Source organism: Homo sapiens, chromosome 6 (genome assembly GCF_000001405.40).
Source record: "Homo sapiens chromosome 6, GRCh38.p14 Primary Assembly".
In the NCBI taxonomy this organism is placed as follows: domain Eukaryota; kingdom Metazoa; phylum Chordata; class Mammalia; order Primates; family Hominidae; genus Homo; species Homo sapiens.
Genome location: NC_000006.12, coordinates 43,855,995 through 43,881,283, shown reverse-complemented (window position 1 = coordinate 43,881,283; position 25,289 = coordinate 43,855,995). Strand labels below are relative to the sequence as shown.

The window sequence follows — 25,289 nt, the reverse complement described above, 5'->3', positions numbered from 1 at the left end:
TTGCTCATTCATTCCTCTCAGTAGCTTTCTATGGGGAATACTATTGGTATTGCCCCCAGATCTCTCTATCATCCTGGGTACACTCTCTCACCTTCTGTGGCTTCCCCTTCTATTCATTCTTCCTTGGGTAATTGCCCTCAGGCTATAGGAGTTGCTTTGCCTGCAGATCTGGAAGTACTTGGAAGTTATATCCTCCAAAGTGACCCTTAGCCAATGACAGGAGTGCAGGAGCGTAAGGTCTCAGCTCCCTTGCTTGGGATGGAGACATCCCTGAGGTATTATAACTAATACTCTGGAGTCCTCCCCCAGAACCAGGCTGGAGCTATCAACTTCACTTGAAATCAGACCCTTTTTGTTGTTTTCCTTTCCCATCTTGCTTCCCCCAATCCCTCTCCAGTTTCCCTGGGAAACTCACAAATCACTTAGCTATGAGTCCTCATCTGACAGTCTGCCTCTGGAGAACTCAACCTAAGGCACCTTCTGAAGTGATAGTACTAGAAGCAGTGGTAGCAGTAGTAATAATAATAATAGTGAGTATTTATTGGGTACCTACTACGTGCAAAATAATGTCAAGTGTTTTACGGTATTAGCTTACTTAATCCTCACAACAACCCAATGAAGTAGTTACTCCCTTTATCCCCACTTCATGGATGAAGAAACTGAGGTACAGGGAGTATAAGTCAGTTGCCATAGAGATACTATTGTTATCCTCAGATAAGAGGCAGAGTCAGGATTCTCACTTGATATCCCCTCTGAAAAGGCAAGAGTAACACACACACACACACACACGTATACACCCATACATGTATACATACATGTGTATACACCCATACATGTATACACACATGTGCACACACACATACATGTATACATACATGTGTATACACACATGTGTACACATACATATTTTGATGATGTGGTTCGCAGGGTTCATGGGCTAAGCCACAGCAGACACCGTGCCTGGCATCAGGAAGGCATTTCAAGAGTGTCCCATGAAATGGCCTGGCTGCAGACTCAAGGCAGGCCACCCCACCAACCCATGGTTTGTTTGTCCTTATGAGTTCATCAAGTTAAGGTCAATCTCAGGGATGTTTCTTGTCCAATCTCAAATGTCTTACTCTCTCAAATTCAAGGGTACTGGGCACAGGGTGGCCCAGTAGGGCAGCCCTTGGGTTTCCAGGTCCTCAGCCATTACTTGGCACATTCCTCACTCGTAAAAAGTCTGCTGAATAAATACATGAATTAGTTCAGGCCTAAAGGTGGGGCTACAAACTAATCCGACTCCACCAAACCAGATTTTTTGGTGGAGAAAGCCAAATGTGCACATCCATATGCACATCACATTGAATCAACAAAAAATACTGTTGCCAGTAACTTCTGAACAAACAAAACCATAATCAAACCCAGAACCGTGATTGAGCGCTAGGGCTCCCACCCCAGGCCACTCACTTTGCCAGATGCCACAGGGACCTCCAGACATACAGGATAGAAACCCTGACCTCTAGCAATGTAGTCTACCTGTGCCAGGGTCTGGAGGAGGCCAGGGGAGCATCCTGGCCATCAGGACCCCAGGAGAAGAAGTGTCCGGCGAAGGTAGGCTACATTTTAAGTTCTCAGCTGAACAGCCCAGTGCTCTGCGTGAGCCAGCTCTGCTCCACTCCCGACCCCCTTCCACCTCTCCCTGGTCCCTGCCCCAACTCAGCTGGTCACTGTGGGTCACAGAGGCTCCCAAGGAGATCTTCTGTCACTTCAGACACCCTAGTCCTGAGGCCTTTCAGTGCCAGAATCAGGAAGGAGGCAGACCCAGCCAAGCCCATCAGGCAGAGTCAGTGGCAGCACGTCAGGATCCCCGCAGCTGCCTCCCGCCGTCTCCCAAAGGGCCTTCCCCTGTGCATGCCTGCGGCCCTCCTTGTCTAGTGGAGGATGTCAATGTCCCCTTTGTCACAAGCCCCTTTCAGAAGGGAAGCTATTCAGCCAGAGCAGCAAACTTTGGGACGATTCATTACCAGGCCAGGCAGCAGCCGGCTGGCTGACTCCCTCCCCTCCCTTGCCCCATCCTCCCCTGGGGCTGGGGTGTGTGTAGGGGTGGCAAGTGAGGAGCCAGCCTGGGTGGGAGCCAGGAGCTACATCCCAAAAGGAGCCAAGAGAAGCCTCCACACCTCCTCTCAGAGCTTCCTACAGGGATGAGAAGCAAGCAGGGCAGGACTGACGGGGCTTCGCAGCTTCCAGTGGTGTTCCTGCCATGCAACGTCCCCTGGGAAGTGTGCCAGCCAAGGCCATGGGCAGAGATCCTGGGTGAGGCCTGCTGTTCAGAGATGGGCAGATCATTTCCTCAGAGCTGCAGATGCCTGGAAGGATCTTGCTCCCCATCACTCTGATCCCGGCTGCCAGAGCAGCTGGTGGAGACCAGCAGCCCTGTGCCCAGCACAGTGCCAGGCACAAAACAGACCATCTACAGATGCCACTGAATAACAGGCCAGATGGCCTCTCCCCACTTAGGACACTGGCCCCAAGGAGAGTAACTGGGGCCAGGGCCTCCAGGACTGGAGGAATCTGTGCTCCCAGTTCCAGCCTGAAGCAGCCCCTCGCACGCCTCATAGTATGGCCCTCACTGAGCCCCTGCACCCCACTGGCCCCAGCCTGCACTTCTCTCTCTCCTTCTCCTCACTCTTTTCTCCCTCTTATTCCCTATTTCTTTTGCCTCTTCTCCCTTCTATTCAGTCAACACATATTTTCTGTACTGTACACTGTGCTGGGTCCTGGGAGCACAGAAGCAATAAGACACAGCCTCTGCCCCCAGGCAGGCGAGTGGCATGCAGTCACCGCAGGCCGAATAGTCCCAGTGGAGGTGTGTGCCGGGAGTCCGGAGTCCCCGTCCTGCCTGGGGAGGGAAGAAGGCTCCCTGGAGGAGGGGCTGTTGAGATGAGTTTTGAAAAATGTATGGGGGTTACCAAATGAGAAGGGGAGGGTGTGGGGGGCATTGTCACTAGAGGGAGCAGCACGTACAAAGGCCCAAGACAAGTCAGAGCAGGACACAAGGCAGGGTGGGGGTGAGGGAGGCTCCAGCCTGGGGTCCAGTATAGCTGAAGTAGGGTTACACTGGGGTCCTTTTCACCTCCACTCACCCTCCACACCCCCCCACCCCCCGCACCCATGACCCACTTTTCTCTCCCTTTGCCCTGAATTGCAGCAGAATAGCCACTGGTCAGGCACGATAAGAGAAGACGGGATCGATCGGGTGGCTGGAGTCGGTGCCTGGCTCCACCCCCTGCAGGGGGTGCTGCAAGTTCCTCTGCCCAGCATCTCCCCCTCCCCAGCAGCATCTGGTGGAACAGCCCAGTCCCCTATGTCTGTGGTTCTGGCAGGACTGTCAACTGCTGTGTCCCAGCTCCTGGCCATGGGGGTAGGCCTGGGATCAGAGATGGCCAGTCACAGCCTCCCGTCCCCTTGGTCAGAAAGATGGCCCCAGGATGGGCTCGTGATCCCAGACCTGCTGATCACAGTCCTTCTCTGGGTTTTCTATATGACCACTAGGGAAGAAAGTGGCTCTGTGAACATCAGTAAAGGATAGTAATAGGGTTATAGTGAAAATAAGTGAGATATGACACATGCGATGTAAAGTGTTTCATTTAATACCTCCTCCCAATAGTAAGTGCTCAATTAACATTACCTTTTGTTTCTATTTTCTTTCCCTTCCTGACCACAGAGAAAAGTGCTGCAGAAGTGGTTCTGTACGCTCAGGCACACCCCGCACACCCCAGAGAGCCCAGGCTAGTCCAGGCCTCTTCTGGTACATGGGGGACACAAAGCCTGAAAAGGGGCGGCGACTTGTTCCCTAAGTCTCCTGACTCCTGGGCTGGTACTCACAGTGATAGGTGCTGCACAGTGGTAGGTGGTATTCCATACCCTGGGACTTTTTCCGGTGTCAACTTCAATGCGGAGGACGCTTGAGCCCTCAGCCAACTGAGGCTTTGTCGTGGCCAAGCTAGGACAGCTTGGCCTGAAAAACACAGTAAAGCCTTGGCTCCCAGCCATTCCACCTGCATGGACAGTGGCTGAGCAAGGACCCCCTCGGCGCCTCCACCACTCAGCCCTCCTCCGCAGGCCTCTCCCTACCCCTCTCCCCCCACGTGGCTTCTCAGGCTCCTCCTGTGTTCCTGCTCTGCCACAGCTGGGCACAGGAGCCACCACAGACTGCCACGGGCCACACCAGGCCTCTGGGGTCAATCTGCCCAAACCACCGCATGTTTCAGAGTAACCTCTGCTGTTCCCGTGGGAGTGGGACAACCAGGAAAAGGCCTCAAAAACCAACCTGGAAGGTTTTTCAAACAAAAGAGTGTGATTTCCTTCAAGGGAGGGGAGGAAAAAGGGAAAAAAAAGTATCCCCCACAGCCCTCCTTGGCTCCAACGGCCTCAGTCGCTGTCTTGGGTGCATTTAGTGGTTTGGCAACTGTGGGCGTATTTTAAAATCTGCTGTCCAGGCAGAGAGACAAAGGAGGCTGGGATGGGGCCAGGGGAGACCTCAGAGGACAGGGGTATTCATCTTGTTAAAAATAACCCACCCTGGTGCTATTTCTATTGAGCTTGGCAAACAGAGCTGTGTGATTTTCCCTTTTTTCGGCCATGCTTTGCTTGAACCATCTGATAAAAATAGTAGATAACAAGCTCAAAAAAAACCTGGGCTATTTTTACATGTAAGCCCCACTTGGAGTGAGCCCGGAGTGGGGTGGCCGGGGAACAGGGAGGTGGCCAAGAAGTGGGGAAGCCTTGGGTAGTTGGGTGGGGGCAGGCCTGGGACCACAGAGGACCAGGGAAGGGAGGAGACCAGGAAAGGGAGGTGATGCCTTCGCCTGTGTCCACAGCTCAGGGTCAACAAACAGGAGCCAGTCTCTCCTGACCCATCGTGGATCTCCCGGTTTCCCAGGCCCTGCTGGCCCCTGCCCCGACCTTCAGTGCTGTTCCCACCACCCTCCCCAGCGCCTGCTTACCCGAAGGCTCCATGGGAGGCTGGGCCTCATAGGAAGCAAGCACTGGGCATACTTCAGGGCTGGGTTAGCAGCGCCAGATGCTACAGACAGGGAGAAGAATCTTCAGGGGGATACCTGGGACCCCAGGAATGCAGGGGGGCAGGCACTGGAAAGATGGGGGGGGATCGGCTGCCCCAGCCAGACAACTGGCCATCCAGGTGGCATCAGCCAGTACATGGTTTCCTGCAGCTGGACCATAACTCTGAGTGTGGAGGCCACACACTCAGCCCTTGAAGGAGACCCACTTCGCTGTGTGGGTGAGCGGTGGCTGTGCACGCACCTGTCCAGTAGTGCACCCCCTGAAGGTAGCAGCCTTGGGCAACTCATGGCTGGTTCCCACCATGCCTGTCATCGATCCATGACAGAATCACTGCTTAGGGCAGGGGGACCTACTGAATGAACACATAGCAGCATGGGGGGCAGAGGTGGGAGCCGTAGGCAGGGGCTGCTCATACCAGGAGAGGTGCCTGGACAGAGGGGGTGGCTGGCCCTCAGAAGTGGGGCTGGGAGACCAAAATCGGGGCAGCCTTCATGGCCAGAAGGCACAGGCCTCCTTCCCTTTGAGCTAGAGATCAGGCCGGCACCCAGCTCACACACCAACCTCTGCTGGAGCTCTGTGAGGTCTGGCCGGGGCCTACAGGACTACTGCGTGAAATTTTCACAACTTAAGCCCTTGGGCTCATGAGTCTGGGGATTTCCTATGGGCAGAAATTGAGCTTTCCCCATCAGACTCCCTAAGGGCAGGGTGGGTCTCCCCACAGCCATCCCCTTCCCCATACCCACAGGTACAGCCAGTCTGGAAGTGGAAGCCCAGCACAGACACCCTGGGAACATCTGGGACTCACCTCACTCTCCCATCTTGGCTTGTGCCACCACGTGACCTCATCCTGCTCAAGGCAGATTCCACGGTGGGGAACTTAGAAAGGCATGTTCTCATTCCCCACAGCAACCTTGACAGGTTGGTAGGGCAACCCATTACCAGGTAAAAGATGGTGAAACTGATCCAGGGATGGAAGCCACACAGCATGCAAGAGGCACCTCCCCCAGGCTGGCCACGGGCTCCCTGCAGCCTAGCCAGCCTAGAGACATGCCCAGCTCCTCTCTAACTCCTGTGGCCCTCAGCTGGTCACAGCCCTCAGGCCTCTCCTAGGCAACCAAGCAGACATAAATGCACTAAGGAATGAGCTCCCCAAGGCCACCAAGAGGTGTCTGGAGCATTTGGAGCACTTGCTTGTCAGAGCACTGGACAGGGAGTCAAGACTCCTAGGCAGGCTTTGCAGCAACTCATTGTGCGACCTATGGAAAGTCATTTCCTCTCTCTCTCTCTCTCTCTGGCTCTCACTTTCCCTAGCAAATGCTCCTTGTGGGAGAAACATTTTTAACCCCAGGACCTGGCTCACAACAGGCCTCAGTATTTCAACTAAATAGATGGAAGAGTGAGTCAATGCGGGGATGCAGCAGGGCTGGACCAAGCCCCTTCTGGGCCTATCACTTAAAAGCTTCTAGGCTGATGTCCCCCAGGAAAGGCACATGTTCCCAGTTGCCCCAGAGCCATCCCTTGTCTCTAGAATAGCCATGGCCTGTCCACAGCCAGGAGGGCCAGTCCTGCAGGCACTGCAGCCACCAGCACCTGCCTGAGACTAGGGTTTCTTTCTCAGCCCTCCACCCTCCCTGGGGCTTGTTTCCCATCATTACCTCTGCCAGTCATTCCTGAGGGTCACATGCTTGCGAGGGAGCACAGTGGGCTATGGGCCTCCCTGCTGTCCCCTCCTTCTTCATTGTTCCTGGGCACTGTTGACTTTACAGGAGCAGCTGGAAACCCATGATGAGGGCGGGCTGATGTTGGGCCCAGGACTGGTGGGGCCAGTTTCTCAGATGAAACTTCAATGCAGGTAAAAGGCAAACAGATAAACAGGAGGCCAAAGGGCACCTCTGCCCAGGGGCATGGGCATGGAATGTGGGCAGTGGGGACAGTGCCCAACTGAGCCCCAAGACATCAGGGGGCTTAAACACATTTTAAACCTCTAGTCCCCCTGAACCAGCTTAGATCTCCTCAGTCTTTGTGGGTTCAGTTTATTCCACTTTGAATATGTGGTCCCAGTGCAATAGGCTCCTATGGGTCAGAAATTACTGAGAGCTGTCATTGAGTGAGCATCAAGAGTGCCAGGGACTGTGCTTATGTCTCATGTAAGCATGGTAAAAATACCACCAGGTAAGGATTATTACTAACCTTGTTTTCCAGATGAGAAAACAGAGACTCAGAGAGGTTAAGTAACTTGCCCAAGGCACACAGCCAGAGAGTGGCAGGGTGGGAGCTGAAGACTTTCCATCTAGTCCTTCTCTCCTGGCCCCTGCTACAACCCTATCCAAGCCCCCACCATCTCTCACCTGGGCTGCTGCAGGGTATCCTTGCTGGCCTCCTGTGTTCACCCTCACCTCGTTCCCTACAGTGAATTCACACAGCAACCAGAGAGAGCCTGTTAAAGTGTAAGTCAGATCAGGTCCTTCCTCCACTCACTTCATTTGTGGATGTACTATGACCACACGATCTGCTCCCCTGTTACCTCCCTGACCTCAGCTCCTCCACTCGCCCCTTCATTCTGCTCCAAACATACTGGCTTCGCTCCTTGTTCCTTTAACACGAGCATCGACTTACCTGCCTCAGAGCCTTTGCGCTTACTGCTCCTGCCGCCTGAAAACTCTTCCCCATATATCCACTCTGTTGGCTCTATCAGGGCTCTGCTCAAATGTCACCTTTTCAGAAAGGCCTGCCCTGCCCTTCTTGGGTAAAGTAGCCTGCTATCTCCTGTCTACGCTCCATCCCCTTCCCCTGCTTTATATTTCTTCAGAAGCAAATATGGCCACTGACTAGTGTATTTGAATGTTACCTGATCTACCAGAATGCAATCTCCACGAAGGCAAGGTTTTTCACCTGTTTTATTCATTGCTGTAACCACAGACCCTAAAGTGGTGCCTGGTACATGGTAGGTACTCAGTAAATAGTTGTCGAACACATGAATTAAAGAATGAACGACACTAGAACTGCCCCTCTTATGCACTCTACTCTTTCCAGCCTCTGTGCTCTCTGTCCCCAAATTTTCCTCGTGGGTGCAGACAAGTCTGCCTCCTTCTGCAGATTAGGGACCCCTCAGGGTGAGGGCTGACTTTAGCTCCTGTTTATTCCACTACCCACCGTGTCCCCACCCAGCATCCCTTTGCCTAGCAGCTCCAAGCATTGCCCTAAGCACATAGAGGGTGATCCAGAAAAGTCTATGGAAGCATAAGGCTTTCCATTCCTGACTTATTTCCCCTCTGTGAGTCTGCCACCCACTGAGGAGGGGAATTGATCCTAGAACTGCTGGGTGATCATCCAGCGATGACTGGGTAAGCCTCATCTCTATGCCAGGCACTGCACTGGGCACTGGCAGACCCTGGTATGAAATGGGTGCTTGACAAAACTGTGCTGCCTTATCCAAGTGAATGAGGTCCACTGACCCAAGATGGACTGTTGGATACCTAGACTCCTGGCTGGCCCTCCACTAGGCAGCCCACCCTGCCAGCTCTCCCACATGGCAGCGCAAGCCTCTACTTCCATTCTCTGCTCTGGCCTGCCATGGCACGCTGAGTCTGCCCCCTCCCCAGCTCCTCTTGGGGGGTGGGGCCTGCCTGCTCTCTGCTCAGATTCTATCCCAGCCTGGGTCCTGAGAGAAGCACATGGACCCTCTGAACCTTGGTTTCCTGATCTGTAAAATGGGAGCCCAGGATAAGTCTTGCTTCCCTTTAAACAAACTCAGATTTCTACAAAGACGCCCTCAGGGAACTCTCTCTCCCCACTTTACAAAGGGATTCATCACAGATCTTTTTAAATAGCCAGTAATTTGACCTCATGACTTAGAATATAGGATGCAATTTACAAAATAAATTTCTGATAGAGAGCTGGTTCCCAGATCTGGGTATTTGCCGCACCGCTCCTGCTCTCCTGGGCAAGTCTCTGGGAAACTGGGGAGAGGGCTGGTGTATTAATAGAAGAGCATTGGCAGGTTCTTTATGAGAAATTGAAGTAACCTGAAGTAAGACAGGTCACCTGTCTGTGCCCTGGAGGCAGATATGAGAACCTGGTACAGGAGTGGCCCTTAGTAACGCCACGAGAGGCACTTAGGAAAGCTGGCTCAAGGGCTTTTATAGACCTCACTCCAATGCCAGGACCCTGGAACTGACATGCTCATTTACAAATGGACAGAACTGAAGCCTGGAGAGGCTGGTTTACAAATGGCAGAACCAAAACCCAAACCTAGCTCTCCTGGCTCCTGGCTGATTCTCCCACCACTCCTTAAAGTTGGTCCTCTGGAGACTTCCTTCGGCCTTGCCTCCATGCTTAAAGTTGGACTCGTATTTTCAGGAGAGGCTGTAGATTTTCTCTAGGACTCCCATTTTTTTCTTCTAGATCCTTTGTTCCAACAGAAGCCGTCTACAAGAAGATGAGTAGGAGTCAGAAGTTCAGACTTTAGTGAGAAAAACAGAGCCACTCTGGAAAGGCAATATGGTAGGGTAATGGTTCAGACCAAGGACTCTCAGAGCCAGGCTACATGAGTTTAGATCCCAGCTCTCCTACCTGTCAGCTGTGTGACAGTTTTAGCTTTCTATGCCTCCGTTTTCTCTTTTGTAAATTGGAGTAATGCTAGCACCAGTCTCCTAGGATTATGAGATAACCTTTGAGTGAATTGACATATGCAAGATGTCTAGAACAGTACAGGGCAGAGACAGAGTGCTAGACAAGCACTGACATTATTGATAAGTAGAACTGCCAGCACCATGTCTGGACCCTGGTGATATGGACACAGAACTTTTATAATTTAAAAAAGAGAGAAATGATTGCAAATTCCTACTCATCCTTCAGAACCCATTCAAACATAACCCTCTCCTTGCTGGTAGTGTTTGTTCTCTCTCTTTAGGGCTCTCATAGGAGTTTGCATCCCTCAAGTATGCAATGCAGAGAAGGAAAAGTGAGTTCACATGTATAAACACGTAATATATACCAGGCACTGCTAGATAAACTTTCTAGAGTTTATCTCATTCATTCTCCACAATAACACTGGGAGGTGATATAATTATCACCCTTTTAAAGGTAAAGAAACTGGGGTTCAGAGAAGTAAGAGACTTGGTAAGAGACTAAGTCTGGCAGGAGACTAAGCCAGAAATTAAATCCACTTAGCATTTCTCATCCCGTGTTTAGTTCCTGGTTTCATGTTTGCCTCCCCCGCTAGGCTGACAGCATCCCAGAATTTTTTACCCGGGTTAGTAACAGGCAGATTTCTGGGAGAGGGGGTGTATGTTGTTCATTACTCATCAAGATTTTTGCTCCAAAAAGATTAAGAACTCCCATCTCCCACTTCTTTAGATTCCCAGGTTTTAGCAGAAGGCCAAGTATCTATCAGGTACTTAGATGAGTGAAAGGAAAGAAGGAAGGAAGGAAGGAAGGAAGGAAGGAAGGAAGGAAGGAAGGAAGGAAAGAAAGGAGGGAAAGATGAAAAGGAAGGAGAAGGAGAGGGGAAGGGAAAGGAAGGGAAGGGAAGGGAAAGGGAGGGGAGGGGAAGGGAGGGAAGGAAAGGAAGGAAAGGGAAGGAAAGGGGAGGGGAGGGGAGAAGGAAGGAAGGAAGGAAGGAAGGAAGGAAGGAGAGAGGGAGGGAGGGAGGGAGGGAAGGGACAAGATGAGCAGGTGAGCACCAAGGGAGGGAGGGATGGAAGGATTGAATCAACAAGTGAATCTGAAGGAAATGGGAACCTCATCTTGATTCTTTTTATTACTCTGAGAGGAAACCAACAGCTGGGGAAGTCAACCCTGCAGGGAGGCTTCGTGTAGGGTAAGAGTGATCCCTGGGCTTTATTTGCCCTCCTCCACTGGGGAGCAAGCCCTGTTCACGCTGCTCGCCCACTAATTCAGCCTCACCCCCTGGGGCCCACTCCTCCATGCCTGGCCCCTCTCAGAGGAGGCCTCTCTGCATCACTGGAGCAGGGCTTGAGCACCCCCTCTTCCATGGCTGCCTTTGCCCTTCAGGCCTGGGAGGGCTGGGGGAGGGGCTGGAGAGGAGGTCAAGAGAATCTGTGGGAGCGTTTCTGGCTTCAGACATCTTCTGAGGGCCAGTGGGCACCAGGCACACAGTAGGAGCTTGGTAGATGGCTGAGGAATGGCAGGAGCTCAGCCCAGTGTTCAGCCCCAGTGGGGCCTGAGAGGGCCCAAGCACGGTAACCACAGGAGGAGCTCCTTCCCTGTACCCCACCACAGGGAGCCGGCTGGGGAACACAAACTTGGTTTTCCAGTTTTTCCCAGAGCCAGCTGCTCTGTACCTGAGAAGTCAGTGCTTCCCGGATCCCAGTCAGCATGGGCTTTTCTCCTAGGCCCTGAGCTTACGTCCAGAAACATTCTCCTGGGGTTTATCTGCCCCCACAACCAGCCCAGTACTGGAAGCTCTGACTTCCTCATCAAGGATCACAAGGGGAAAATGACCTGTGGGGTAGGGGGAAGAGGCCAGAGCCTTCATCACTCTGCCTGCCGCTGGCATCCTGTGGGGGCCTAGCTAGCTGGGGTCACCTCCCTCTTCCCCACACAGAGCTGGCAGGACAGCTGGTTTATCCTTCTTCAGCCACAGCCTGCAGAAAGCACGTTCCCCTCGGAGCCCCGGGCCACTAGCCAGTCCACTGGGGACATCCCTCAGAGAGGGGAGGGGAGGGAGAGACAGGGCGGACACCCAGGCTGGCACACTGTGGCCAGCCACCCGGCTCCACTGACTGGCGGTTTCGTGTCTGGCTCCCTGAGGTCCAGATGGTCCCAACACGTCCCTGGGGGGTAAGCAGACTCCTGCCCAAACTTGAACTCACAGCTCCAGCCCCCAGAGGCTCCGAGCCAGGACCCCAAAGGAGGGAGGTAAGAGAGAAGAGGCTTCTGGAGCCTATGCAGGGCTCCTGGGTGTGGCTCACAGGCTCTGTGGTGCGAAGCCGGAGCAGCAGGAATGCAGAGCAGGGTAGATAGATGTGTAGAACTCCAGGAGGAGGTGGGACAGAAATGGGTCTGGACAGAAGGAGAAGAAAGGCTGGAGGAAGAAAGCAGGAAAGACTTCACATAGAGGAAAGGCTTTTCCTAGCCTGGAGGCTGACAAGATGACTTCCACCTCTCCTCCACTTATTTCCTGACCCTTTCCTACCCGCATCTGCTCGCCGGCCTCTGGGCCTTTGTTCACGCCATTTCCCCCACCAGAAGTGTTCTTCTCCACCCATCCATCCTTCAAGGTGGCCTCCCGAGTTAGCCCCTCTGTAACATCTTCCCTGGTTCTTCCTAGCTAGAAGCAATGTCTCCTGACCTCTCAGAGGACACGGTTTATATGCTCCACGTTTTTCCGTCGGCTTTGCCTCCGTCATACTCACTTATTCATGCCAGTAATCAACAGGCGTGATTTAAATGGCCTCTGTATCAGGTGCTAGAGGAATCCTCAGCAGAGTTAGACATGGTTTCTGCTTCCAAGTTGATAGAAAATAACCCTTCTACAGTGGCATGGTACTAGAATTCAATTCAAGAAACATTTAAATGAACACCTACTGTGTGCTGGGCATTCTCCTAGACCCTCAGAATAAGAAACCAGGACATGAGGAGAGCTAAGTGCTGGCTAGAGATGGGCCTAGGGGGCTTTGAAAGCTCAGACTCGGGGCCTGGGGACAGGGGCAATACCTCAGCTAAGAGTCCCAAGCGAGAGCAGGCCTCAGCCAAGACAGGAAGTTAGGAGAAGGCTTTCCAGGCCCAGGAAACAGCATTGTAAAGGTACAGACTTGGCAGGTTGGAGCAGTGCAAGCTCAGGGGCATGTTTAGCTGGAGACATAGAGGGTACATGGGGCATGTTTGCTGGGGAGAAGGGCTGAGGCCAGAGCGCCAAGACAGTCATTCTCAGAGCTGGGGCTTGTGCTGGCATTCTCCCCGACTTCATTTTATACCCTTCTATGTTCTGGAGAGCTGGCCCCATGGACTGCCTCACCCTGGCTCTCCTGCCCTGTGGCTTCTGGTTGAATTCAGCCAATGGGAGGCACCAGCAGATAATCTGAAGATGGGAGGAGAGAGAGGCACCTCCAGCAACCTTGCTAGACCACAGTGCGGTGGGTATGTCCCTCTATCTATGGCTGCACAGCTCCTAGCAAATGACCCCTCTCCTGCAGCAACGGCCTTCACCAGGCTCCAGTAGCAGCTGCCTCCCGGTCCCTTCAGACCCAGAGGTGTCTCTGGCCATCGCTCTTGCCTGGACTGCTCCATCTCACGCTGATTCCCTTGACCCTGCTCACACTCCTGTAAATAACCCTGCATTCAACTCTGTGATGGCTGTCGGCTAAGAGGGCTCTGGAGTCATGGCTGGGCTGACTTCATGGAGGAGCAGGTCTCATTGGGAGAAAAGGAGGGAGGGGTCTTGGAGACAGGTGAGGGCTTCAGACAGGAGATGCAGGGTGTGCTTGAGGCAAAGGTGGTGGCAGGAGCCAGAGCAGTGGATGAGATCCTGGTATCTCTTTTCCCCAGAGTAGATAAAAGAGAAGGTCAAAAAAATGGAGGAAAACAAGAAAGCACCAGGTGTCCTGGGAGCCCAGGATCTAGCTAGTATGTAAAGAAGTCAGGCCAATATGCAGGGCAAACTTCCTACCATGCCCCAGGGTGAAGATATCCCACCATGCCCTGGGGCCAACATCCCACTATGGCATCCCATTATGTGACATGCCCTGGGGGAAACACCCCGCTATCCCCTGGGGTGGAACACCCCAGGGCAAACCTGCTCTAGGGTGAATGCCCCACTATGCCCTCGGGCAAACTATGCTTCGGCCCTGAGGCAAACATCCCACCATGCCCTGGGGCAGGCCAGTCCACTGGGAAAATCTTGTTTCTTTGGAGTAGAGAATTAAAGAGATATTTTTGGGCCAGGTGCTCACACCTGTAACCCCAGCACTTTGGGAGACCGGATCACTTGAGGTCAAGAGTTTGAGACCAGCCTGGCCAACATGGGGAAACCCCACCTCTACTAAAAATACCAAAAAAAAAAAAAAAAAATAGCTGGACCTGGTGGCAGGCGCCTGTAGTCCAGGCTACTTGGGAGGCTGGGGCAGGAGAATCGTTTGAACCAGGGAGACAGAGGTTGCAGTGAGATGAGATTGTGCCACTGCACTCCAGCCTGGGTGACAGAGTGAGATTCTGTCTCAAAAAAATAAAACATTAAATTAAGAGACTTTTTGGGGAAATGGGAAAACAGTTATTGAATTACTACTTTATTTAATCCTCATATCAAATGCCTCAGAGAGACAAAGTACCCAAACTTTGAACTCACAGCTGGCCTATGTAGCTGGTAACTGGTGAGGCTGGGATTTGAACCAGGGCGGTCTGACCATGTAGCTGTGTCAGCTGCCCTTTCGGTAGTGCTGGGTCTTCTCTGTAGCAGCTGGAAGGTGCTCTTTCCTCACTTGCTGTCTTTCCATACTAGGGGAGCTCACTTCCTTACTTCCCAGGCCAGCCCTCTTATTGCTGCAAAGCTTGGGGTTCAAGGTAGCCGTGTCTTAGTTGTTCTCCCGCATTCATATTAATCCTGCCCATTGGGGTGGCCCACACACAACCCCATTCTGTGCTCCACAGGACAGCCTTTCCTGGGCTTGAAGACTGCCCCTGCCGCTCCCACCTCCTCTCATCCTTGAACTTGAGCTGGGGTTTCAGGATTCCTCTCCATCCTTATTCCGCAACCCTCAGGTTCTGAAAAACTGACACGTACATCCTCATGGGAATTTGGAAACAGGCCCTACTTCAAATAAATTCAATATGTGAAAACTGAGACCAACACGATGGCTTCCCCTCCTCCCCCTTTCCAAAGTTTCCCACTGTGGCCCAGGGCCTGGCTGCATGATGGGGCCTAAGGTCCCTTCCAGCCCTGAGACTCTGTGGTTCCAGCAATTCCTCTGCAAGGCCCTAAGCACTCCCCAAGGCCATGAGGTCTCCCTTTGAAAAAGGTGCCAGGCCTCCTTCCTTCCTAGCTTCACGGACTCAACCCCAGCCCCTTCCCTGCTCCTGCATGGCAGGCAGCGTGCTCAGCCCCCCCACTGGGCCGGAAGCACTCTTTGCACACACGTGGACTCCCCCTGCATCCCACAGCTGCAGCCCTAATCCTAGACTTGTTTAAAACTGAATTATGAGCCTGTCGTGTGGTAGCTCAGAAGCGGAGGCGGAAAAGGATTTACTGGCCGCATTAAATCATGTGCTTATTGTTAAGTGAGCTGGGCAAAGGAGGTGCTTAGAAGCTCTACATCCCTCCCCCTCCTCCCGACGTCCCACCAAAGTGCCCCCCACCCACCCACAAAGACCACCTCTGGGGTCCTATCAGTTTATTTCAGAGCCTCACACTGGTTCCCTTGGCCCCACATCCCTTGCAGTGGTGGACAGAGGTTATTTTGTCCCCATTGTACAGATAAGTAGACCCAACGTCTCAGAGAGGTGAGGCAATTTGCCTTCAATCGTACAGCGAGGATGAAATGGAAAGAAGAGGCTTCTTGGCCTAGTGCCCCTGTACCCCTGATTTTCCAAGCACAGTTGCACATAAAAGCACTCCAGGCACTTTTTTGGAAAGAACTCTTGAGCTTTAGGTATAAAGTTCATGTGACCCACAGCAGGCAGAGTTCAGCTCTCCCCGTGAAGGTCTCAGGCTATTCTGGTGAGACTCTTGAGAAAGCACAGAGGCCTGGCTTGGGGGTCAGGGAGAAATTCCAGGGTCCTGTGCCCCCTCCCAAACCCACTCCACACCAGTGCCGGTCAAATGCTGGAGGACAGGTTCACAGTCCAGTGTGAAATTCTCTTATAGGAAGCAATCAGGCAGCCCCTGTCCTCATCTCCATTCACTCTCAGCCAGTGCCCACCCCCTTCCCATCTCCGCACCCACAGTCTGGCTCCCCATGGCAGGCCACTGTTTGCTCCCACACTCTGCTCTCCCTCCTCACATTCCTGGCTGGTCCCCTCCCAACCCACTGTCTCTAGGCATCCCCCACTCACCCACCCCCGCAAGGTACCCCTGGCCAGACCCTGCCCTGAAGCTGGGACACTGTGAGATCCCCACCAGACCACCTTCCCGAGGGAACAGCTGAGCCCAGGGGGCTTGACCAGGGTACTCAGGCAGCCGGCAGGCAGCTCTTCGTATTGGCAGCATTGGTAGGACTCACTGCCCCTGAAAAGAATTCTGAGGCATCTTTGACTCTGTTTAGTGGGCATTTTTACAGCTTTTACAGCTGGAAAAGGGGCACAGCCAGTGAAGTGTGGCCCCTCGGCATTAGCAGCCCTTCTGCCTACCAGGAACACACTGTGACCTAGACCGAACCCCACAGCCCCATCTAAGTCCTCACGGGGACCCAGTTCCACCTGAGTTACCATTACCATACTGCAGGCACTTAAAGGCATTTCACATTCATAGTCTCACAGAAAGCCCATAACATTCCAGTTTGAGCAGGCTGGGGGTGGGGGGTATTATCCATTTTACAGGGCACGAGACTGAGGTCCACAGAGCAGAGCTGAGGTCAGCTGGAGGCAGTGACCCAGCAAGGGCAGGGACCCAGAAGTCCTCATCCCCATCTGGGTGCTCTCTGCCTAGGCAGAGAGGAGAAGTCTGCCCAGGTTCTGCAGAGTCTGACAGACAGATCATGACCCCACCGACCTCATCAGGGGTCATTTTCTGTTCAGCCAGAAAAAGACTCCTTGTCACAGTTGCCCACCCCCATCCTCACCTAGCAGGACTGAGCTGCAGAGTTAAGAGGAGAGCAAATATTCCCTGAAGGGTGGGCTTTCAAGTTACCCCCTTACAGGTGGGGCTGTGGACCTGTAGATTTAGGTCTACCGGCTTTCTCTGGAGTCGGCTCCTCAAGGACATTAAGGAAGGGCTTCAGTTCCCCACCAGCTGTTAAGAGCCCCTAGCTGGGTGAAGTGAGTCTCTCCCTGGAAAAGCAATGTCTTTGGCTGAGGAAGCCAGATTCACAGGGAGGGAGGGAGGGGAGTGTTCTGGGTCTCCTGGCTTCTGGGGGGTGGGGAGGGGTGAAGGGTGAGGCTGCAGGGGAGGGCTGTTGACCCCAGGCCCCAAAGTGCTGCTCAGCACCCCTCCTAAGAGGGTTCTCACTCCCACTCAAGCTAGGATAGGGCTGGGGAAGGTGGGGCAGTTGACAGAGTTGGGCCAAGAATTCAGGTGTTTCCAAAACAGGTGGTCAATAATGAGGAAATGGCCAGAAGGGAGGGAGGGAGAAGGGAGGTAGTAAAGAGTCTGGCAGGAAACCGAGAGGAAAGGGACAGGTAAATTGAGCGTGATGTCTGAGAGGGGTATTGGGACAGGCGTTTTACGTATCTAATTGTAACAACAGCCTTGAAGGAAGGTAGGAGCACCATTCTGTGGATTAGACTACCAAGACTTAGCAAGATTAACGTGACTTTCCATCAAGGTCATACGAAATGAATGACCCTCTAAGTCACAGAACTCAGGCTTAGGCTCTGTGACACCAAGCCTGGGACTCTTTCTTCCCCCACCAGACTCCCAGTCCTTGAGAGCTATATCCATTGATTCCCCCACCATATCTAGTACCAAGCTCAGGATTTCATAATATAGTAATAGGTGTTCAATAAATATTGTCGTCCTGATGACTTTCAAGCCTACAGTTTCCCTTGTTTAGAAAACAGCTAACAAATCCTAAGGCACACCTGCCTGGAGACAGTGTCTATACCTGGGCTCTGTGGAGGCTCCATTCCAGCCCTTCTATCCTTAATCTGCTCCCCAACCCCATAGTCATCCTGTACCATCGAGGCTCAGAAAGACTTCAATGTCTCCACCCATGAAATAACATGGGGTACAGAGTAGCCACCTAGCTTTCTCCCAGAGCTCCTGATCTGTGACTGAGGACCACAGCCTCCACCTTCCACCCTAGCACTGCTGTGCCAGGCATCTCAGATCAAAATATTCCCCAGAAGCACAGAAAGTCTAATTCATTTCATGTTTCAGGAGGAAGTCCCATGAAGAAATAAAGAACATGTGGTGAATCACAGAGAAGTGGCTGAAAAGATTCAAGCCTCAACCTTGGTCCTCCCTAGTCACATGACCACAGGCAAACCTCTTCTCTCTCAGCCTCAGTTTTTGCATCAGTGCAATAGGAATGGTATCTGCCATGCTAACCTCACAGGACTGCTGTGTGTTCAGATGAATCAGGTATGTGAAAGACACTTCTGCAAGCGGGAAAGAGGTGTGCAAAGGCAATTTGCTTTTACAGAACTTATATTACTGTCATTTCCCATCGTTATTTTAATGCTCAAAAGGTTTGGGAGACATTTCTGTAACTGAGGTGTTCATGGTAAGCCCACACTCACTCCTGCTTGGAAAAGGTTTTACATAGACTGAGGAGACCTGAGGCAGTTGCTGAGCTGCTTAGAACAGAGTCTCTGGGTCACAGCCATCCCATTACTGGGCATATCCCCAAAGGATTGTAAATCATGCTGCTATAAAGACACATGCACACGTATGTTTATTGCAGCACTATTCACAACAGCAAAGACTTGGAACCAACCCAAATGTCCATCAATGATAGACTGGATTAAGAAAATGTGGCACATATACACCATGGAATACTATGCAGCCATAAAAAAGGATGAATTCATGTCCTTTGTAGGGACATGGATGAAGCTGGAAACCATCATTCTGAGCAAACTATCGCAAGGACAGAAAACCAAACACTGCATGCTCTCACTCATGGGTGGGAATTGAACAATGAGAACACATGGACACAGTGTGGGGAATATCACACACTGGGGCCTGTCGTGGGGTGGGGGAAGCGGGGAGGGAGAGCATTAGGAGATATACCTAATGCAAATGATGAGTTAATGGGTGCAGCACACCAACATGGCACATGTATACATATGTAACAAACCTGCACGTTGTGCACATGTGCCCTAGAACTTAAAGTATAATAATAAAAATAAAAAATAAATCAAAAAATAAAAGAACAGTGTCTCCAGGTCAATAAATATTGGCTAAGAGAATGAATGAAGGAAAGAAGGAATGGCCTTTTTGTACTGTGCTAGATATTGAGGTGGTAGCGTGGGATCAGGACTCCTTTTATGGCCCCTGGGTCAGCAAATGAAAGCTCCTGAAACGCAGATGTCAAATTTGACTCTGATATAAGGTTCTTGCCAAGGATTGTGGGGAGAAAAGGGCCACAGAGACACAACCCTTTAGGAATTTTGAACCATTTCAGGAAACAATTCAGATAGCTCCAGGCAAAAAGGATGAGGGAGAAGAAGACACTGAAATTTGGGTCATTTACCGCCTGCCCCCATCATTTGCTCCTGTCCCCCTTTTCCCCTCCCCTGCCCTATCCCTGCTCCCTCCCCCCAACACCCTCTGGTACAGCCAGAACCTGGCCTTGGGTTGGGGACACTGGAGAGAGGCGTGGGAAAAACAATCAAACCTTGGTCAGCCGGATAATTAGCTGTTCCTCTGTGACCATGGCCTCCCTCTCCTCTCCGCTTCGCCGCCACCCTCTACCCCCGCCCCTGCAGGACAAGTGTTTCCAAATACCCTGGCGACATCACTTCATTAATGCTAATGGGAAGTCCGGACATGAGCTTGGACGGTCATAAATTGCCCTGTGTGAGAAAGGGTGAGAGTATTTGTGTGTACTGCCTATGTGTGTGCATGCTTCTGCAAGTGTTCACCACCTGTGTGTTGCATATATGAACATGTGTGTACTACACAAATGAGAAAGTATACATAATGCATGTGAGCTGTGTGTGCATGTTACTGCGTGTGTACACGTGGACTCAAGTGTTCTGCATGTGTGTGTGCCAGTGTGCAAGTATGTCTACTGCATGCATTCTGCATCTGTGTGGAGTGCGCATGCATATGTGTGCATGAGTGCAAACTGCCTTGCGTGCATGTGTTATTGCATATGTGCTTGCATATGCATACATACGCATACATATGTGCATGTGTGAGCTGAATATGTATACTGCATGTAGATGAATGTACATATGTGTGCACCCATAATAGCTCTGCAGTCATTTTTGCCTTTATCATAAGTGTATGTATATGATATACAGTATGCACTCTATGATATTTAGGCACCCACGTGTACATGCCTGGGAGTACACACATGATATACACATTATCAGTACATTCTATTGATATTGGTGCATTTCTGTGGGATTGTGTACCAGACGGCAGCTGAGCATCAGTGGTAAATACACTAAATGGTGTGGTAACAAGGAGCTTAGGCTCTGTAGCCAGACTGCATGAGTTCAAATCCCACTTCTGCCCCTTACTTGCTGTGCACATGACCTTGGGCAAGATATGTGACTTCTTTGGGCCTTAGTGTCTTCATCTCTAAAACAGAGATAATGATTCGTATGTCCCATATGGTTGTTGTGAGGACTAAATAGCAATTCATATGAAGTGTTTAAAATAATACCTGGCACATATCAAGCACCCAATAAATGTTGGTTATTATTACAACATCATTAATAGATCTGTGTATACATGGAAACCTGTGCATGTCTGGGGCATGCGCTATGGAAATCTGGGTGTCTGGTATGTGCACATGGCCCATGTTTATATCTAAGCCAGTGTGTGAATAGAGCTGTGAGTCTGGGAGCATGTGTAATATCCATGCCACGTGGATTTCTGGGTCCTCCCACACATACCTACAGGTGTCCTGGCACTCTGACAGTGGCGGACAGCAGGGCAGCTGCAGCCTTGCCTCACTCCCACCCCCTGGAGCTCAGTGAAGAGGGCTGCTCTGAGGAGGGAGGCTGGCTGTAGCCACACCTACCCATGCCACGTCTCGCGTGGTCCACAGTGCATAATACACACACATTGGTCTGACCAGCACCACCTGCTGCCCCTTGTGAGGGACGAGCTGGTGAGTGGAGAGCCCCACTTCCTTCTCCCTCTCCCTACAAATCCGGTCAGTCTCCAAGTTCTGTCAGCTCCGACCCTGAATCTCTCAATTTGTCCATTCCCCTCTCTGTCTCCTCTCATGACAGCAATAGCCTCTTGTCCCTCCTAATCCACTCTCCACGCTGCAGAGAAAGTGATCTCTTAGAAATGCAAATCTCATCACCTTGCTCACTCCCCTGCCTAAACCCCTTTAATAGCTAGCTTTGCATTGCTCTTGGAATAAGGTCTAAAATCCCTTCCAAAGCATAGGAGGGGCTGGCCTGCCCACCCCAGCCACAGCTTCCACCCTCTCAGCCACTCCCAGCTCCTGCTCCCCCTCTCCTCACCCCCACTTTGGTCTTTGGTTCCCTCTGCCTGGAATGCTCTTCACCACCTTCACATCAAAACTCTCTGGGACATCTTTACTTACAGACTGCCCCCCAATTCATATTTTCATGTTGCCCTGTAATAATTCTCACCTCTGCCATCAACACACAGGCAGTTCAATAACTGCTGCCGTGTCATCCTCATCTCCCCTAAGCATGATGAGCACTGAAGGTGTCGGGCCATCCCTGTGTTTCTGGGCCCATGTCCCATGTTGGCCAGGCACCTGCGGTGCACCAGCAGTTGTGCTGAGCCTGAGGATTCAAGGCCCCAGCTGTCAAGAAGTTTGTAGTCTCTTGGAAGAGACAGACAGACACAAAGCATACTGTGAAATTGGTCAATGCACCCATAGAGTGAGGAGGGGCCTGAGGGAGGATTCCAGGGGCCTTGCCAGAGGGGACCTTGAGAAATGAAGCGTAAGCCTGGAAAGGGAATTCCAGACCTGGGAAGAGCAGGAACAAAAGTTCAAAGGGAGGAGATCGCAGTGCGCGTGCAGCTTGCTATTGCTGCGGCGAAAACTGTAACACGGGAAGCACTAAGAGACAGAACCGGGAAGGTCCGTAGGGACTAGACTGTGGGAACTTGAAGAATTTCTCCTTTGCTTGGACTGATCACACATCCATCCACTTAAGATTTCAAAGTCCCAGCTGTGATAGGGTCACTCCTGTCCATCAGGCTTCATGTGACTGAGAGGAGGCTTCCCTGATGCCTGATGGAACCAGTTCAAGGACTCCTTGGGATGGCCATTGAGTCCATGGCCCCAGATTCCCACTTTATTAGCAGGAAGGAGAGGCCCAGAGAGGAGCAGTGGTTTCTCTCAAACTCACAGCTCAGCCAAGTGTGGAGTCGAGAGGCGGGACTCAGCTCTGAGTCCAAATTGGGCCACCCAGCCTGCTCGGAGCCTGTGCCCAAAGGTCAGGGGTCAGGGGTCAGGCAGCTCCTTCCCCAGGAAGGCTCCAGTTGCCTCTGGGTGGAAGGAACAGCCCCTCACACAGCCCCCAGGCAAGAACTCAGGCAGGGCAGCAGGTTAGCTCTCTGAGGAGGCCCAGGCAGAGACTAAAAGGGGTGGGGGGCCTCTGCTCGAAGGCCAGGAGCTTTAATTCCCCGCTTTCAGTTGCTATTGCTAATTCAGGTCCCAAGGGGCTTGCTGAGTTTGTCCTGGACTCAGCCACTTAATCTTCTAATACCTCCCAGCAAAGCCCCTTTGTTCTCCCTCTTGCATAAGGTGGTAGGAACTGTGCAGCCTCCTCCCCTCTGCACCTCCCTCATCACTCAGCCTGAAGCCCCTGCTGGTGGTGGCGGCTGCACCTCCAATCCCTCCTGGGCCCCCAAGAACTTTCCAGCAGGGGATGTTTAAGGCAGTTAGCCACTCTAAAGACACACTTCTGAGTCTGTCTTGCCCCTATCTTTTGGAGGCCTGGCATTGCACTGCAGTGACTCTGTGCCGGAGGGCTCCCTAAACTGTGGCTTTTACCCATCTTGGCAATAGGAAGGCCTTGGCTGGCTCAGGGAACCTTCCAGTGGTGAGGCACGTGCCCTCTGACCGCCCAGGAGCGATCTGGCAGGGGGTCTCCCTCTCCTCCTTCCCCACCCCTAGGGTAATAAGGGCCAGCTTCTCAGACTGCAGCTTGGGCTCAGTCAAGAGCCCCACACTTGGTTTAATGTTCTACTGTCACCATCTTGAAATTGTTTGTTTTTGAACAAATGGTCTGCCATTTTCATTTTGTAGTGGGCACCACGAGTTTTGCAGCTGATCCTGCCTAGAGTTTTGTGGGAAGCCCAGGAGGCAGCCAGCCTGGGGACCTGAGGAAAGCTGGGTTCTGGTCCCAGCTCAGCCCTGGCTGGATGAGTGAACTTTGGCAAGCCCTTGTCTTCCCTCTGGAACTCAGTTTCCCCAAGTTACATCAGTTTAGCTAACATTGACACAATACTAAATATGCTGTCTAAAACTGCCCCAAAAGCCGAGCTCAGCAGGGGCCTAAGTAAGATGGGGATTATTGAAAGATAAGTGATGGGGAGGGGACAAAAAAAGAGAAGGGGGCCTTCAGTGCTTGCCCATCTGGACTCTTACAGGAGTCTGGTGGAAGGAGTTTGGGGAAAGCAGAAGCAAGATGCCTGTCCTGGGCCTCGGCATCCCTTACCTGGGAGCTTGGAAGGCCAGGCAGGGAGAGCAGATAGCCAAACTGGCCATGAGCATAGAGGGAGGGCGCTTGATCCAGATCCCCATTACCCCTATTCAAGGCACCCCCTCATGGGCCAAGCCCCCTGGGGCAGGACAGCCCTCTGCTAACATCCTTGCCTCTACTAGGTGTTGGGGTAGGGTTCTGCTTGTGGGAACATCAAGGGGTCAATGGCTCACATGGGCCAGGGCAGACCCGCTCCACCTTTCCAGGTTCTGGAAAGACCCAGAGCCTACCCAGGGCATGATCACACCCACCAACAGTTCCCCCAGACCCAAAGGGTTATGGTTCCATGTCCAGCTGCCATTCTCCCAACCCCTGATCTATACCCCCTTCTCACTGAATACTGAATTAGCCCAAAAGCCAGGAAAGAGGCCCTGGAGGAAATGGTGGCTCCTCCTTGGGAACTGCAGGCTGCCCTCACCCAGAGCCCTTTGAGTCAGGGCCTGGCTTATGCTTGCTGACACATGGCTTCTATGGGTCCCTGAGGAATCAGCTGGCTTTCCTACCTGCTGCAAAGGAGCAGGGCGGGGAACTGCACAGCATGGGAGCATCCTGGGGGCCAGGATGCATTTGCTGTCTCCTCCACTTCCCCTTCAGTAGTTAGGACAGGGCTCTCTACACAGTTGGGATGGACAGAGGTCCCAGTGGGTCTTGGGCTTATTATCAATACTGCTCATGGGCCAGCTGTATCCCAGCTTCCCAGGAAAAAGAGACCAGGCCTGCCTGTAAGCTCTGCTAAGGACCAGAACCCTGCTTACCTGGTTCACCATCAAATCCCAGGTCCTAGCACAGTGCCTGGCTTGCAGTAGCTGCCCCATAAGATTTGTTAAACAAATGAATGAACTGAATTTAGTCTTCAATTTCATTAAATGAATAAATGAAGTAGCAACTGGAAGCTTCCAAGTCAGAGCCAAAAAGATCTTCCTCACTTTTACACAGTCATGTTTAACCAAACATAGTTGTTCTCTTGCCTGTGGTTTGCTCTCTGAAGTTGGAGCTGATACTGAATGAATGAAGAGGGGTTGGCGTGCCCCTTGTCCCAAGGCTAGGGAAAGGCTGCACAACCTCTCCAGGGCCTCCAGGTGACAGCAACTCATACTCCCAGAACACCAAGACAGAAGGCACCCTGGACAACCATAACCAAACTCCTCAGACTCAGCTGAGGTGACTAAGGCCCAAAGAAGGGAAGGGACCTGCCCTAAGTCCCACAGTGAGTTGGTAGGGGAAGTAGGACTAGAACTCAGGATTCCTGACTCTCTGCCTGGAGCTCTTTCCATCCTGTCAGGCCCAGACATGAGTCTAGTTTCCCTCCTGGTCAGGCAGGCCTTTTCTAGGACCTGGGCCCTGGCTGTCCCTAGCAGTGACAGCCTGGCCACCTGCTGGCCAGAATGCTTGCAATTGCCAGGGAAGCGGTAGGTTTGCGGTTTGTTTGGACTCAGGCGGCCTTGCACAACTGTGAGGTCTGTAGGAAGCTGGGCAGGCCCCTCTCATCTCCATCCCTGCTCTGCAGACAGAGGACTGGCCGGCTGCAGGGCACACAGGGCCAAGGCACCAGGTTGGCAGGAGAAACTCAGGGCCTGACTGTTTATAGTGGGGATAGCTCCCCAGGCTCTGTCATCAGACCTCACGCAAGGTAGGATGTCACAGACAGCAGCCCAGGCAGCAAAGGGAATGGTGGCTAAGGCCCTGGGCAGGGAGACCAGGCTCTGACCCCCCAGTTACATCCTTGGAATGAGCTC

General features: G+C 52.3%; 2 long non-coding RNA genes across 4 annotated transcripts in view, besides 3 other annotated features; one reads left to right on the top strand and one right to left on the bottom strand.

Annotated features, from left to right (window-relative positions):
- LOC105375070 (uncharacterized) overlaps positions 1-25,289 on the bottom strand; it is a 107,357-nt gene that overhangs the window by 23,232 nt on the left and 58,836 nt on the right. The window lies entirely within an intron of this gene.
- Positions 2,803-3,310: an enhancer, noted in NCBI's record as "H3K27ac-H3K4me1 hESC enhancer chr6:43845711-43846218 (GRCh37/hg19 assembly coordinates)". NCBI's record gives its function as "activates a minimal SCP1, AML or CMV promoter by ChIP-STARR-seq in primed H9 embryonic stem cells {active_cell/tissue: H9 hESC(primed)}" and the evidence as "EXISTENCE:reporter gene assay evidence [ECO:0000049][PMID:30033119]".
- Positions 3,311-3,818: an enhancer, noted in NCBI's record as "H3K4me1 hESC enhancer chr6:43845203-43845710 (GRCh37/hg19 assembly coordinates)". NCBI's record gives its function as "activates a minimal SCP1, AML or CMV promoter by ChIP-STARR-seq in primed H9 embryonic stem cells {active_cell/tissue: H9 hESC(primed)}" and the evidence as "EXISTENCE:reporter gene assay evidence [ECO:0000049][PMID:30033119]".
- LOC105375068 (uncharacterized) lies at positions 11,789-18,619 on the top strand. 3 transcript variants are annotated; one of them, XR_926820.4, is made up of 3 exons: positions 11,789-11,949; positions 18,059-18,262; positions 18,585-18,619. It is a non-coding gene; the product is annotated as an uncharacterized LOC105375068 (long non-coding RNA). The 3 variants fall into 3 exon arrangements; XR_926818.3 differs by lacking the exon at positions 18,585-18,619 and adding an exon at positions 13,025-13,166 and having other exon boundaries at positions 18,059-18,575; XR_926819.3 differs by lacking the exon at positions 18,585-18,619 and adding an exon at positions 13,025-13,170 and having other exon boundaries at positions 18,059-18,575.
- Positions 22,384-23,055: an enhancer, noted in NCBI's record as "H3K4me1 hESC enhancer chr6:43825966-43826637 (GRCh37/hg19 assembly coordinates)". NCBI's record gives its function as "activates a minimal SCP1, AML or CMV promoter by ChIP-STARR-seq in primed H9 embryonic stem cells {active_cell/tissue: H9 hESC(primed)}" and the evidence as "EXISTENCE:reporter gene assay evidence [ECO:0000049][PMID:30033119]".